We start from the raw sequence: 17,125 nt of genomic DNA on the forward strand, positions 1-17,125 counted from the left end.
CAGAGAAATACTCTGCAAAAGTGATCATATATACATACACATATATATGTGCATGTATATATATATAGAGAGCGAGAGAGAAAGAGAGAGAGAGAGAGAGAGAGAAGAGTTTAAGAATCATTTAATTCCAGGCAAAAATCAAGTACAAAGAGATACAAAGAGCTACATCCTGGCACTCATTTTGAATTATAAGGATAAAAAATTTAAATCCTATCCAGGCTACAAGACAAGGTACTTAGAAAAAAAGGATAAATGGACTTTGAGATCAGCTGGGTTCTATCTAATACTAAGACAAAATTATTTCAGATCCAGCTCTTCATAGGCAGCCAAATTGTCCTTCAGGTGAAATAAAGATGTGTATATAAATGCCATAGCTTAGAGAAAGTATCATCCATGTACAATTTTTGAAAAACTATTACTTGATTATATGATCACGTTGACTACGAATGAAGCAAAATTATGAGCTCAGGAATAGGGAAATAGTGGCACAAGAGTACTTGGAGTGAGCACCAAAAGCATTTGTATGTAGGTTTAAATCTAATCCATGTGCAAAAGTAAATGATCTGAACTATTTCTTGAAAGAGAAAATATATAATGTAAGATAATAATTTTAAAACAGTAATATTAACCTATATTCTCAAGTTATACTAATAAAAACTGAAAAATCAAAGGGATTGTGATTGTATTTATTTCCTTAGCTTAGCTAGAAGATGACCCAAAGGATTTATTTTGGTTCAGATTATTAGGGAAATAAAAATCGAAGAAGGCTTTTGAATCTTAAAGCAAACCATAAATAGTTTAACATAGAGCTTGTATATCCCAAATCAGTAGAAAAGATAAAAATAAAACCATGTCTGCATTTTTAGCAGTGAGAAACAAAATGGAGTCGCTGTAAAAAAAAAAAAAAAGGCACAAAACAAGATGACATAAGTGAGACCACATGATAAGGCATAAGGAAAGATGTCAGAAAATATGTCAGAAGTTAGACTAACCTTATTAGTTATAACAATAGATGGAAATGTACAAAAAATAAAAGTAACAAAAGCAACATCGAATGGTCAAAATTCCCAATTTAACCTCTACAGATCATTCACGACTTAAGATAGCTGGACTTACGATGTTTTTGACTTTATCATGGGGCAAAAGCAATATGCATTTAGTAAAAGCCGTACTTTGAATTTTAATTTTTTCCCAACTGTAGGTTAATGTCAGTATTCTGAGCACCTTTAAGGCAGGATGGGATAAGGTATGATGTCTGGTAGGCTAGGTGTATTAAATGCATTTTCGACTTACGAGATTTTCAACTTATGAAGGGTTTATGGAGATGATAAGTTTATCACTTATGCAAATGAAGAAGTTTAAAAGAAACGTAAAACAAAACTATGAAAAACAAAATTATAGAATTCATAAAGATAAAAGCAGAAATTCAATAACAGAAATACATTACATCTTAAACATTCTCATAAACCTTATAGATATAACACAAGAAGTTCTTAGATACAAGTTATCTCAGGGAAACAATATTTACCTAACGCCATATAAACCAATGTTATGTTCACTTGTAATGTGTCAATATTTGCTAACAATGACGGATTATGACATTTTCTTGTCAAAATGGCTTACCATCACCTATGTAGGTCTGGAGTGGCTTTTAAAATTCAGATATTCACTAGTGCAGATGTGTGAAAAGACTCACCTATGAGGATACTTCTCATGATTTTTTTCACTGTGAAAAATTGGAAAACATAAAAGGCGGATTTTAATTTAATAAATTATTCTACCCATATGGACTAACACTGTGCAATCAATAAAATGGTACTACAGAAAAATATCAAACAACATTGAAATGCTCCCAATACATTAAGATTCCAAAAAGCAACTCGTAAAATGTAATGCAATCTCGTTTGTTTAAATACACACACGCACAGAGCAGAGAGAAAGGGAACACTAGATACTGTAGATAAAAATTACAGTGGGGAGGGGAGGGAACTTAGAAGACTGGTCAATAGGTGCAGCAAACCACCGTGGCACATGTATACCTACGTAACAAACCTGCATTTTCTACACATGTATCCCAGAACTCAAAGTAAAATAAAATAAAATAAATCTTAAAAAAATTACAGTGGGGTTGCTAGTGATCTCTTTTTCTTTGTGTTTCTCTGAATCTTTCCATTTCTAACATGAATTTATTTTATACTCAGAAAAACAAATCATAAATGTTATATTTTTAAAAATATTAGTGCCTTCCATAATATTTTATGAGAAATTCAAGTAAAGTAATACCAAAATTAGTCTTTTTTTTAACTTAGCACGTATTTATAGAGTGTGTACTAACTGGTAGGCACTGTTTATACACTGGAGATACAACAGTGAACAAAACCAAGTCCCCGCCCTCCTCTCACTATAGACAGAGGGAAAGATAGAAGATAAACAAATATAAGTATATGTAATAACATTTGGTAACAATGTCATGAAGGAAATTATAGCAGCATAAAAAATAAGGAGTAATGAAAGACAGATGTGTTATTTTATAGTATAGTATTGGCTTTGTTTATTTTTTCCTTTTTTGTTTTTGTTTTTGAGATGGAGTCCTGCTCTGTTGCCCAGGTTGGAGAGCAGTGGCTCGATCTCATGTCACTGCAACCTCCACCTCCCAGGTTTAAGTGATTCTCCTGCCTCAGCCTCCTGAGTAGCTGGAATTACAGGCGCCTGCTACCATGCCTGGCTAATTTTTGTATTTTTAGTAGAGATGGGGTTTCGTCATGTTGGCCAGGCTGGTCTCAAACTTCTGACCTCAGGTGATCCACTCGCCTTGATCTCCCAAAGTGCTGGGATTACAGGCGTGAGCCTCTGTGCCTGGCCTATTTTTTCCTTTGATTTTCAGTTGACACACAATTGTACATATTTATGGAATACAGAGTGATATTTTGATACATGTATACAATGTGTAATGATGAAATGTATAAAGATAAAAATAACAAACGCCTCCAACGTTCATCATTTGTTTGTGTTATGGACATTTAAAATCCTGTCTTCTAGCTTTTTGAAAATATGAACTAAATTATTGTTAACCATATTTGCCCAACAGTGCTACAAAATACTAGAACTTTTTTCTCCTATCTAGCAGTACAATGTAACTTTGTATTCATTAACCTCTTTCCCTATCCTCTCCCTCCTCCTATCATTCCCAGCTTCTAATGACTACAATTCTTCTTTCCACTTTTATAAGCTCAGTATTTCTTGGCTCTCGTATATGAGTGAGAACATGTGGTGTTTATTTTTCTGTGCCTGACTTATTTCACTTAACATGATATCCTCCAGGCTCATCCATGTTACTGCGAATAACAAAATTTCATTGTTTTTTACGGCTGAATAGTATTTCATTGTGTATATATTCCACATTTATCCTTTCATCTTTTGACGGACATTTAGGTTGATTCTATATCCTGGCTATAGTGAAGAGCGCTGCAAAAAAACATGGGAATAAAGTTTTCCCTTCGATATAGAGGTTTCCTTTCCTTTAGATTAATTCCCAGCAGTGAGAACACTGGATTCTATGGTCTTCCTATTTTCAGTTTCTTGAAAAACCTCCATACTGTTTTCCATAATGGCTATACTAATTTACATTCCCACCAACAGTGTATGAATTCCCTTTTCTCTGCATCCTTGCCAGTATTTGTTATTTTTTGTCTTTTTGATTATAGCCATTCTAACTGGGGTAAGATGATATATGGGTATGATTTTGATTTGCATTTCCCTGATGATTGGTGTTGTTGAGCATTTTTTTTCACATATTTGTTGGCTGTTTGTATGTCTTCTTTTGAAAAATATTTCGTGCCTACAATCCCAGATACTCCGGAGGCTGAGGCAGTAGAATCGCTTGAACCCAGGAAGCGAAGTTGTGGTAAGTGGAGATTGTACCATTGCACTCCAGCCTGGGCGACAGAGCAAGACTCCATCTCAAAATATATATATATACGTATATATGTATACGTATATATACACATATATATGTATATATATATATATTCATATATTCAGCTCCTTTACCCATTTTTAAATTGGATTATTTGTTTTCTGTGGGGTTTTTTACCTTTTTTTTTTAACTTTTCTTGTACATTCTGGATATTAGTCCCTCGTTAGATGACTAGTTTCTGAATATTTTCTCCCATTCTGTAGGTTGTCTCTTCACTCTACTGATTGTTTCCTCTGCTGTGCAGAAGCTTTTGGGTTTTATATAGTCTCATTTGTCTTCTTTTGTTTGTTTTTGATGCCTGTTTGTTTTAAGTCTTACCCGTAAAATCTTGCAATGTCCTGAAGCATTTCCTTTATGTTTTCTTCTAGTGGTCTTACAGGTTTGGGTCTTCTGCACTAGTCGTTAATCCATTTTGAGTTGATTTTTGTATGTCGTGAGATATAGGGGTCTAGTTTTATTCTTCTGCATATAGATATTCATTTTTTCCAGCACTATGTATTGACAGGGTGTCCTTCATCCAATGTAAGTTCTTGCCACCTTTGATGAAAATGTGTTGGCTGTAACTGCATAGATTTATGTTTATGTTCTCTATTCTATTCCATTGGTCTATGTGTCTGTTTTTTTATACCAATACCATGCTGTTTTGGTTACTATAGTTTTGTATGTATTTTGAAGTCAGACAGTATGATGCCTTCAGCTTTGTTCTTTTTGCAAAGGATTGCTTTGGCTATTTAGGGTTTGTGTGTGTGTGTGTGCACGTGCGTGTGTGTGTGTGATTCCATACAAATTTTAGGATTTTTTTCTATTTTGGTGAAAAATGTCATTAGTGTTTTGATTGGGATTCCATTGAATCTGTAGATTGCTTTGCATAGTATGGTCATTTTAACAGTACTAACTCTTCCAATCCATGATTATGCTATGTCTTTCCATTTTTGTGTATGTATCCTCTTCAATTTCTTTATCAGTGTCTCTAAGTTTTCATTGTAGATGTATTTCACATTTATTCCTAGGTATTTTACTTTTCTCGTCATAAATGAGATTGCTTTCTTAATTTACTTTTCAGCCAGTTCATTCTTAGTGTGTAGAATTGTTGCTATTCTTTGCATGCTGACTTTGCAGCCTGCATCTTTACTAGATTTTTCTAACAGTTCTAAGAGTTTTTTGGTGGTGTCTTAGGTTTTCCTACATATAAGATCATGTTGTCTGCAAAGAAGGACAATTTTACTTCCTCTTTTTCAATCTGGATGCCCTTTATGTACTTTTTTTTTTTTTTTGCCTAAGTGCCGTGGCTAGGACTTACAGTACCATGTTGAATAACAGTAGTGAAAGGCAATTTTGTCTTGCCCTAGTTCTTAGAGGAAAGGCTTTCAGCCTTTCTGTATTGAGTATAGTAGCTGTGAGTTTGTCATATACGGCCTTTATTTTATTGAAGTATGTTCCTTCTATACATAACGTTTGTAGAGTTTTTATCATGAAAGATGTTGAATTTTATCAAATTATTTTTCTGCATTTATTGAGATTATCATACATTTTTTGTCCTTTATTCTGTTGAAGTGTAGAATTACAAGTACTGATTTGCATTTGTTGAACCATCTTCGCATCACTGGGATAAATCCTACTGGGTCATGATGTATAATCTCATTGTGTTGTTAGGTTCAGATTGTCAGTATTTTGTTGAGGATTTTTGCATCTATGTTTTCTTTATTTGTTGTGTCCTGGTCTGGTTTTGTTATCAGGGTAGTGGTGGCCTCATAAAATGAGTTAGGAAGAATTCCCTCTTCTTCAATTTTTTGAAATAGTTTGAAAAGAATTGTTGCTCATTCTTCTTTAAATGTTTGGTAGAATTTAGCAGTAAAGCCATCTGGTCCTGGGCTTTTCTTTGTTAGGAGGCATTTTACTACTGATTCAACCTTGTTACTTTGGTCTGTTATTGGTGTGTTCAGGTTTTCTGTTTCTTCCTAGTTCTATCTTGGTAGGTTATGTCTGTCCAGGAATTTATCAATTTTTTTCTGAAATTTCCTAAATTTGATAGGATTTCTATTTTTTATATTTGTTGAGATTTGTTTTGTGGCATAAAATATGATCTATCCTAGAGAATGTTTCATGTGCTGATGAGAAGAATGCATATTCTATAACTGTTGGATACAATGTTCTGTAGATGTCTGTTTGGTCATTTAGTCTATAGTGCAGCTTAATTCTATGTTTCTTGATCGATTTTCTGCTTACATGACCTGTCCAATGATGAAAGTGGGATATTAAAGTCCCCAACTATTATTGTATTGGTAAGTATCTCTCTTTATCTCTAATAATGTTTGCTTTTAATATGTAGGTGATCCTGTGTTGGGTGCATATTCATTTACAATTGTTATATCCTCTTGCTGAATTGATCCCTTTATCATAACGTAATGATTTTCTTTGTCTCTTTCTATTTATTTTTTTGACTTATAGTCTATTTAGTCTGATATAAGTTTAGGTGCTCCCACACACTTTTGGTTTCCGTTTGTGTGGAATACCTTTTTCTAACCCTTTACTTTCAGTCTGTGTGTGTCTTTACAGGTGAAGTGCATTTCTTGTATATAGGTGGGTCTTCCGTTTTTAAATCCATTCAGTGAGTCTGTATCTCTTAAATAGGAGATTTAAATGGTCTACATTCATGATTGTTATTGATAGGTGAGGACTTACTCCTGTTATTTGGTTAGTTGATTTCTCATTGTCTCATATATCCTTTGTGGCCTTTTTCCTCACTTGTTTATCTTTGCAACTTGGTGGTTTTCTGTAGTGATAACCTTTTATTCCTTTCTCCTTCTCACTTGTGTATCTGTTCTACCAGTGAGTTTTATGCTTTCATGTTTTTTTTTTTTTTTTTTTTTTTTTTGATGGTAGATACCATCTTTTAGCTTCTGTTTGTAGGACTTCCTTAAGCATCTGTTATAGGGCTAGTCTAGTGGTGATAAATTCCCTCACATTTTGCTTCTCTGGCAAAGACTTCATTTGTAGCTTTATTCCTGAATTATGGCTTTGCTCAGTTTGGTGTTCTTGACTAGCAGTTTTCTTCTTTCAGCACTTTGAGTCTATCATCCCATTTTCTCTGGCCTGTAAGGTTTCTGCTGAGAAATCTGATATTAGTCTGATGGGGATTCCCTTATGTGTGACTTGATGCTTTTTTACTTGCTATTTTTAGAATTCTCTCTCTACTTTTTGACGTTTGACAATTTGACAATAATGTGCCTTGGAGATGACATTTTTGGGTTAAATCTATTTGGGAATGTTTAAACTTCCTCTATCTGCATTTCTATAACTCTTCCAAGACTTCAGAAGTTTTCTGCTATTTTTTAATTAAATAGGCTTTTTATGCCTTTTCTCATCTTTTCTACTTCTGGAGCGCTCATAATTTGAATATTTGTTCCCTTGATGTTGTCCTATATGTCACATAGGCTTTCTTTATTCCTTTTTATTCTTTTTGTTTATTTGTTTGACTGGGTTATTTTAAAAGACCTGTCTTCAAGTACAGAAATTCTTTCTTCTGCTTGATCTAGTTTAATACTGAAGCATTCAATTATATTTTTTATTTTATCATCAAATTCTTCAGTTCTAGGATTTCTGTTTGGTTCTTTTTAATAATATCTATCTGATATGGTCTGGATCTGTGTCCTTACCCAAATCTCATGTCAAATTGTAATCCCCCATGCTAGAGGTAGGCCTGGTGGGAGGTGATTGGATCATGGGGACAGTTTCTCATGGTTTAACACCATCCCCTTTGGTACTGTCATGATGAGAGTGGGTTATCACAAGATCTGGTTGTTTAAAAGTGTGTAGTATCTCCCCCTTTCTTCCTCCTGCTCCAGACATGCGAAGTGCTTGCTCCCCCTTTGCCTTCTGCCATATTTGTAAGTTTCCTGAGGCCTCCCCAAAGGCCAAGCAGATGCCACCATTATGTATCCTATACAGCCTGTGGAGCTGTGAGCCAATTAAATTTCTTTTCTTTATCAATTACCCAGTCTCAGGTATTTCTTTGTAGCAGCACAAGAATGGACTAATACACTATCTCTTTGAATTTTTCCATTCCCATTATGAATTCTTTTTTAAAATGTCTTTGTTTTGTTTGTATTCTTATGCCTCACTGTTTCCTTAAGAAAATAATATTTTAATCATTAATATTATCTATCAATTCATTAATAATTATATTTTCATTAACATCAATACTATTTTATTATTAATACAACTATATTAATAATATTTTGAAATCCTTTTTAAGAATTTTATGTTTTTTTTCTTTAGGATCTGTCACTGGATAAGTACTATGTTCCTTTGGTGGTGTCATGTTCCTGGCTTGTTCATGTTTTTTGTGTACATACACTGATATCTACACATCTGGTGTAACAGTCACTTCTTCCAGTTTTATGCAGTAGTTTTCACAGTGAAAGACTTTTTCCTGCAGACATATCTATACTGTCAGTTGGGTAGAGCACATTAGGTTTGGTTGCAGTGGGTGTCATAGTGTAGTTCCTATATGATTTCTTTGACTGTATCATTGTCAGTGGTGTCTGTGAGTTTCTTAGTAGCTTAGGTTACAGTTGTTTATGAAGGCTGTGGTGAGACTTTTCTGGAGCCTGGGGTGCTAGATGGGCTGGTTCTCAGGACCCTGGATTGTGCACATGAGCACAGACTATGGCATCAGTGAGCCCTGGTAAGGATCATTTCCAGGGTCCATTAGCAGCACGTGCAGGTGCCAGTGGTGGATTGGCTTTTGAGTCTCTCGGAGGCACACTCGGGTCTGTGGCAGCCCTGCTGCTGGAGGGGGCAAGGTAATTGGTGGTGGTGGCAGCCCCTGGCAGGTGATTCTCAGGCTTTGGGGAGTACAAGCTTCAGCTCCATAAATCCTAGGGGCAGCCTCCCTAATATGCAAGACCACCTGTTTCCCAGAGTGTAGGGCACTGTGGGGGCTTGGGTCTCTGGCATGCAGTCACACTGCTGGGTCCAGCTGGTGTCATGATGCTGCAGCCCTCTAAGTGGATATGAGGGGAATGTTGGCTGGGCCTCAGGGATGTGGAAATGTAGGAGTTCTTGGACCCCAGGGCAGGATGTAGCCTGGTGTTTGTTCCATTCTTAAAATGGTGTCATGTGGCAGCAGCCTGTGTTCTGTAGGGTGAGTGGAACCCAGTGTGAATTCCCTCTTCAGGACAATGTAATCACATGGACTCAAAGCAGCTCCCTTTACTAAGCACTGGGCTTTTGAGGCCCGAGTGGCTTTCCTGTCACTACGATTGCAGGTGTGTGTTATGGGAATGTGGACTGTTGGAGATCTCTTGCAAAGGGAATCCTCACAATGGGGAACCCCTCCTGGCTCTGGCCAGCTGCTCTGCTGCCCTCTCTAGGCTATCATCTTGAGTTTCCCTCCTCAGAGGGTCCTTGTCACTTCCCTGCTGAATTCTAGTGTTCTCCCTTACATACTCTATTCAGCATACTCTACTCACCATTTTGGTCCTTCTTTGAAGAGGAGATTAGTGCCGGACACCTCTAGTCAACTGTCTTAATCACATAGGGTGGTATTGTTCTGCCTTTTATATTCTTGCAGAAAGTGGTATATGATGCTGGGCTCAGTGGGTCACACCTGTAATCCTAGCAATTTGGGGGGGCCAAGGTGGGAGGATTGCTTGAGCACAGGAGTTCAAGGGCAGCCTGGGCAACATGGTGAAACCCTGTCTCTACAAAAAATACAAAAATTAGCCAGGTATAGGTGGCATGCCCCTGTAGCCCAGCTACTTGGGAGACTAAGGTGGGAGGACGGCTTGAGCCCAGGAGGTAGAGGTTGCAGTGAGTTGAAATTGTGACACTGCACTCCAGCCTGGGCAACAGAGCAAGGCTCTGTCTCAAAAAAAAAAAAGTGGTATAGGGAAGAGAACTATTTGCACCTCTATTAGGCATTCATAGTCTTTTGATTCTTAATAGGAATTGACCATATGACAGAACCTACAAACTCAAAATTAGTTATTGATGCTTATATGGCACCTGTATTTTAATTTTAATACCATGGCTAAAACGAAAGTGAGCAGGAGGGATCCCCAGGTGTAGAAGATAAATCTTGAGTATTTAGAAAAAAATTCTTTTGGGCTTCTTTTGTAGTGATTTTAAACCATTTTTATTTATGTTGGTGCCAAGTCTTACTACCTAGTAAAAAGCAAATTGCCCCACCCAGGCCTATTGAATCAGAACCCTTGTTTCAACAAGGCCTCCAGGTGATTCTGATAAATACTAACATTTGGAAACAATTGCCATAAAGACTAGCACAATAAGTATCCTCAGAGCACTGGTATTATCTTTGGATTCTCACAACAGTGGTCGATTCTGACATTTAAGTATCTTCTGATCAAATAGTTTTAACATTAAGTGTGCCAATATTAAAAAAAAAATCATATCTCTGAAAACAATTTTCTAAATTCAATCAGTTCAAACATAGAAAAAACTTCACAGAACAGACTAAATCATTACATTGTTCTTTAAAGAAAACATGCAAAACGCCAACACAAGAAATGTATGAAAGTGAAGGGTTCTGGTTGAGTGATGGTGGGAGACCTTAAGTCTTACATCTTGACAAACTCTACTCCTGGACCTAAATTTGGACCCTTCTTTGTCTCTGTGACAGCCTCTGGGATGCCTCTCTGGAGGTTCCACAAGATGCACTTTGAAAATCATTAACTCTTGGATTAGTCACCTGACCCTTAATTATATACTGCCTTGGCCTTGTATCTTCTTATAGTTTCGTTCTGTGTTGTTTTATTATTGCCTTTGATTACTTACTTTTTGCATGCTTGTGGTCTGAGCCCCTTCATGTAGGAGACAGGAAAAAAAGCCACAAAGCCCTGAATGTCTTATGAATTGTAAACAGGTACAGATAGCAGTCATATAATCAACCAATATAGCCAGCAAGCTAGACAGGAACTACAGGCAGGGGCTCTGTGTGCAGTACATTTCCTGTATTTTCCATAGTTTCTCAACTATATGGAAGAAGGAATACAACTGGCATTAAGAAGACATACCCCAGAAAGATGATAGAGTTAACAGCTATTTATCTGGTTCTTGACTTCAATAAAAAATCAGTTAGGACCACTATTTTTCTCTTATGGACCCCATATTTAGGAAGATTTTCTCCATGAGAATAACTATAGTATGCTAAGTAATACATTAGTTTTCCCCATTTTACTTAATAGATCATGTATTCTCAGTGGAAGCAAAAATTGGTTCTTCTGGTATGAGTGAATACATCTTACTCTTTTTTTTTTTTCGAGAGTGAGTTTCACTCTTGTTGCCCAGGCTGGACTGCAAAGGCGCGATCTCGGCTCACTGCAATCTTCGCCTCCCGGGTTCAAGCCATTCTCCTGCCTCAGCCTCCCTAGTAGCTGGAATTACAGGTGCCCAACACCAGTCCCAGCTGATTTCTTGGATTTTTAGTAGAGATGGGGTTTCCTTATGTTGGCCAGGCTGGTCTCGAACTCCTGACCTCAGGCGATCCACCTGCCTCGACCTCCCAAAGTGCTGGGATTACATGCGTGAGCCACTGCGCTGGGCCCACCTTACTCTTTTATACATAAAGCACAGTGCATCTATTGTACTAAAATTTCAAGGCAGTCATTAAAAAAAAGTCTAAAAGAATTCTTAGGGGAAAAAGGTAATGATACACTCATATAAATGACTTCCAATTAGAACTTTTGATTTATATGAACTTACCAGTATTCTCACAGTGAGTTGGAATTTCAGTCAAAACAAAATAACATCATATTTCAGTCTGTGGGTAAATGTAATTGTTCATTCATCAGTGAACACTTTGCTTGCCAGTAGTGCTGAAAGCATGGAAGAAAAAAGAACAATTGAAAAACTACTGCAATAGTCCAAGTAAGAAATGGTGGAGACTGGACTAGGATGTTCAGATTTGAGATGTATTTTAAAATATGCCTTCTGAAAAAAATTCAAAACAGCTCAATGCCCTCATAATAAAGGATTCTACGTTGGGAAATACTGTATGATGCCAAAGTTCTAGGCCTTATTTCAGGGGGATCTTTGCCTGTTTGTACACATGTTCCAAAAAAATTCTTCCTGGCATCATCATTCTTTAGGCTGGCAGAGAAAAACAAATCAGCAAATCTCACATTTTCCTTTATGGGAAAATTTTGTTTGTAGTTGGACCTAATTTCTATTCGGGTAAGGAGTGGCTCTTATTCAAAGACAAGCTTTGTATATTTTGTTACACAAATGACCTTTATTTTTGAAGCTGTCAACAACATTTTCATAATTGCAAATGGTCTAGGTTGATTAACCTGCTATATTTTGCAGATTTTACAGTGCATTTGTATTTGCACTGCTAAAAAATTACATAATGAGCATCAATAAGTCTTCCCATGCAATTTTTAGCTCACTCCTGGCATTGATCAACTGTTATGCTTAGTGTGGTGTAAATTTCTTCCTGATAAACCCAACTTCGGCCCTGGGCTCTATTTTTCCAACGGCTATTAATCAACTTTGCCAGCTGCTTTAGATTCTTTTTGGAGATAGGATGTCATAAATAAGTAAAAGTAATCATTGTTTCATCCAGGAAGTAAAGAAGTGCAAGCTAGAATACGTGCAAGACAGCATGGTTGGGTCATATGTGTGCAGATGAGAAAAGACCAATTCTCCTCTGTGGTTACATGGGTCATATTGCCTGTATATCACTCTCTTCTGCAGTCTACCAAGCGTTATAAACAGCATGTGATCCATGGGTCTGCTATCAAAACAAATACATTTCACGAGATGTGAAGCGTCATTTAACTTGAGCAATGACTTGAGATTATTACTTAGGGTTTAGATGGAATGTTTTCTTAATGGGCCAACGTCTTTTGCAAAAAATAGGACTCACAGAGGAACACATAGCAAGACATTTTATTTATTTTTTTGAGATAGGGTGTCTGTTGCCCAGGCTGGAGTGCAGTGGCATGATCACAGGTCACTGCAGCCTCAACCTCCTGAGCTCAAGTGATCCTCCTACCTCAGCCCCCTGAGTAATCCCAGCCTCCTGAGCTGCATTGCCCTATGTTCTCCCCATGTTGCCCAGGCTGGTCTCGAACTCCTAAACTCAAGTGATCCTCCCCGCTCTGCCACTCAAAGTGCTAGGATTACAGGCGTGAACCATCGCACTGGCCCAACAAGTCTTTTTAAACAGAGACTTAAACTGGTTTCCTCATTCCTGAAGTCCAAATAAATTATATTGCTAAGTAATATGTATATAATATATGTTGAGGAAGTATTTGTACTCTATGTTAAAGATATCGTTTGCTATGTCTTTGTGTGAATTCAAATATATTTTAAAATATTTATAAAGGAAGAATAATTTGGCTCATCTTACACCTCAGATAGAAAAATTATCTGGCAGTCCTGAGACTGGGAATGGTTATAAAATGTTTAACAACCTACAGACCAGAAGATAAAAAGCTAAGAGGCAACTTACATTAAAAGTACTGCAGCGAGCACATCATAGGAAAAGAGCCGTGTCTCTCCCATTCTCCCTGGGAGTGTAAGGGACTGGAGATTTAGGGGACGAATTATGCATGTAAGGGTAAACTCACTTGAGCTCATGGTGCTCAAGAGAAAGTCTCCTGAACAGAAGCCAGCAGGGCAGTTTCTTCTTGCACGTAAAGAATTGTGGTGGATGCGATTATGTTTATGATCTTTGGGTAAGGACATGGAGTAAAGAAAGGTACAAGGGAAGATGGGATACTCCAAGATTTTGGTATACTCTTTGTATTAGTCTGTTCTCATGCTGCTGATCAAGACATACCCAAAACTGGGCAATTTACAAAGGAAAGAGTTTGGCTGGGTGAGGTGGCTCACACCTGTAATCCCAGCACTTTGGGAGGCCGAGGCGGGTGGATCACGAGGTCAGGAAATCGAGACCATCCTGGCTAACACGGTGAAACTCTGTTTCTACTAAAAATACAAAAAAATTAGGGCGTGGTGGCGGGTGCCTGTAGTCCCAGCTACTCGGGAGACTGAGGCAGGAAAATGGCGTGAACCCAGGAGGCGGAGCATGCAGTGAGCCGAGATCGCGCCACTGCACTCCAGCCTGGGTGACAGAGCGAGATTCTGCCTCAAAAAAAAAAAAGAGTTTTACTGGACTTACGGTTCCACATGACTGGGGAGGCCTCACAATCATGGCAGAAGGCAAGGAGGAGCAAGTCACATCTTAGGGGGATGGCAGCAGGCAAAGAGAGAGAGCTTGTGCAGAGAAACTCCTGTTTATAAAACCTTCAGATCTCCTGAGACCCATTCACTATCACGAGAACAGTACAGGAAATACCCAACCCCGTGATTCAATCATCTCCCACTGGGTCCCTTCCACAACAAGTGGAAATTATGGGAGCTACAAGATGAGATTTGGGTTGGGACACAGAGCCAAACCATATTACTCCTGTTATGGCAACTAAAAACAGAAGGCAAAATGCTTTCTGGCCACAAAAAGAACAAATCCCTAAATCTTAAGTTTTAACTGCATGTCTAGTACTTAAAATCATGTGAGGGGTTTTACATGGGATAGCCCTAGAATGTGTGGCGTGTAACTATTTTATTTACAAACGAAGTATTTGAATTAGGAAGCAATCACCATAATATTTCACAATAATGTAATATATGCATGGGTTGTAATTTAAGAATTTCAAAAGATATGTTAATAAGTAATCAAACCACCTCATAGTTCAAATTTTAAAATACAGTTTTCAAAAACTAAATAAAATAACCTTTTCTAAAGCAGCATGTGTTGGTAAAAAACAAAATAAAATTGTCATTAAGGTCAAAGGATAAAACAAGCCCAATATTCAGATTTTTTTTTAGACCTCAGAGAGCTAAAGACTTTTTTTGAAGACTTCCAACATCCAGACTTCCAGTGTTTGCAAATCAGCTATTCTGTGCACAGTCCAAGATGTGGCGCCATTTATGATAGCTGAAAACTTAATGTAAGTATTAATTAAACTTGAAGCTCTAAAAATAAAAAAAGTACACTAAAAGCTGTTTTAAAGTCAGCAAGGCCGAGTATTTGCTTAGAGGTCTTCTTTTTTAACTCTTGCTCTTAAGTAAATCTTGATAACTATTTGTGGTTCTCCACATCTTTACATGGAAAAATGCATTTTGCTGGAGAAAAACAAAAATAATGGTCTAGATTTATGACTGATTTCTCTCAACTATCTTCCTCAGTAACACCTTAATCTAAGAATATTTGGTGAAATAATATCCCAGTTCTAGAGAAAGTTGCTAGAATTACAAACATGTCATAGGAAACAGATATTTCAGTTTTAGCATGCATATTGTAACATTTCAGGCTGCCTTCTTTCCATCAAGATCTGAGCACTAAGTTTCTTTCTGAGTGAAGAATCAGATGAAGCAGATGGGAGGTGATGATAATATTATACTATTTATTATCAGATTTGGTGGCTGTTTTATGGTTATATAAAAGAATACTTTGGTTTGGGGAAAGGCTGAAGTATTTGGAGTTAATAAGGTTTCATAACTACAATTTACTCAAATGGTTCAAGGGAAAAAAAGCAACAAAGAAAGAGAGAATGACAAATCAAATGTCATAAAATGTTAACCACTGGGTGAGGAAATGAGGAGTCTTGTATTATATTCACAACATTGCTGTGAGTTTGAAATTTTTTCAAAATAAAAGTAGAACAAATTAAAAAGGACACAGTGAGTTTGAAGGGCCTCCAACTGGCCAAATTTACGACTATTCAAAACAATAATGACTGTAATTGATTGTAATCCAATGAATAAGTAAGAATTCATGAGTCCACATGATACTATAAAAACAAGAAAGAAAAAGAATAGTAGCCAGAGGCTACTATTATGCCAACAACTTACTCTGAAATGTTTTAGTGAAAAAATTAAGCACTTATCCTGTCTTTTTGAGAATAATTATAGTCATTCCCAGTTGTATATTAGTCTGTTCTCACACTGCTATAAAGAAATACCTGAGACTGGGTAATTTATAAAGAAGGGAGGTTTAATTGGCTCATGGTTCTGCAAGCTGTATAGAAAGCATGGTGGTGTCAGCTTCTGGAGTGACCTCAGGAAAGTTACAATCATGATGAAGGTGAAGAAGAAGCAGGCACTTCACATAGCCAGAGCAGGAGGAAGAGAGAGAGATAGGGGAAGGGCTACACACTTTTAAACAACCAGATCTCACAATAACTCACTATCATGAGAAGAGCACCGAGGGGATGGTGCTAATCCATTCAGGAAGGACCCAACCCCATGATCCAGTCACCTCCCACCAGGCCCAACTCCAACATTGGGGATTACATTTCAACATGAGATTTGGGTGGGAACACAGATTCAAACCATATTATTCTGCCTCTGGCCCCTCCCAAATCTCATGTCCTTCTCACATTTCAAAATACAATCATGCCTTTCAAACAGTTGCCTAAAGTCTTAACTCATGCCAGCATTCCCTCAAAAATCCCCTTCAAAGTCTCATCTGAAACAAAGAACATCCCTTCTGCCTATGAGCCTGTAAAATCAAAAACAAGTTAGTTACTTCCAAGACACAATGGGGGTGTTGGCATTGGGTGAACATTCTCATTCCAAAAGGGAGAAATGGGCCAAAAGAAAGGGGCTATAAGCCCCAGGCAAGTCGGAAACCCAGCAGAGCATTCATTAAATCTTAAAGTTCCAAAATAATCTCCTTTGATTCCATGTCCCACATCTGGGGCACACTGGTACAAGGGGTGGGCTCCCAAAACCTTGGGCAGCTTCACCCCTGTGGCTTTCCTGAGTTCATCCCCAGCAGCTGCTCTCACAGACTGGTGTTGAGTCCCTGCGCCTTTTTCAGGCTGAGGGTGCAAGCTGCTGGGGGTCTACCATTCTGGGGTCTAGAGGACGGTGGCCCTCTTCTCACAGCTCCACTATTCAGTGCCCCAATGGGGACTCTGTATGGGGGCTCCAGTCCCACATTTTCCATCTGCACTGCCCTAGTAGAGGTTCTCTAGGCTGAAGGCTCCACCCCCATAGCAGGCTTCTGCCTGAACATCCAGGCTTTTCCATACATCTTCCAAAATCTAGGCAGAGGCTCCTATGCCTCATCTCCTGCATTCTGTGCACCTACAGGCTTAACACCACATGGAAGCC

The 17,125-nt window shown here is 37.7% G+C and overlaps 1 long non-coding RNA gene across 2 annotated transcripts in view; it reads right to left on the minus strand.

Moving 5' to 3' along the window:
• The window catches only part of LINC03019 (long intergenic non-protein coding RNA 3019), a 45,630-nt gene that overhangs the window by 10,782 nt on the left and 17,723 nt on the right, over positions 1-17,125 (minus strand). For both annotated transcript variants that reach the window (NR_015383.2, NR_152742.1), the window contains exons 2-3: positions 11,702-11,814; positions 1,624-1,726 (exon numbers count right to left, since the gene is read on the minus strand). This is a non-coding gene — a long non-coding RNA (long intergenic non-protein coding RNA 3019). The remainder of the gene's footprint in view (positions 1-1,623; positions 1,727-11,701; positions 11,815-17,125) is intronic.

This window comes from Homo sapiens, chromosome 8 (assembly GCF_000001405.40).
Source record: "Homo sapiens chromosome 8, GRCh38.p14 Primary Assembly".
Lineage (NCBI taxonomy): Eukaryota > Metazoa > Chordata > Mammalia > Primates > Hominidae > Homo > Homo sapiens.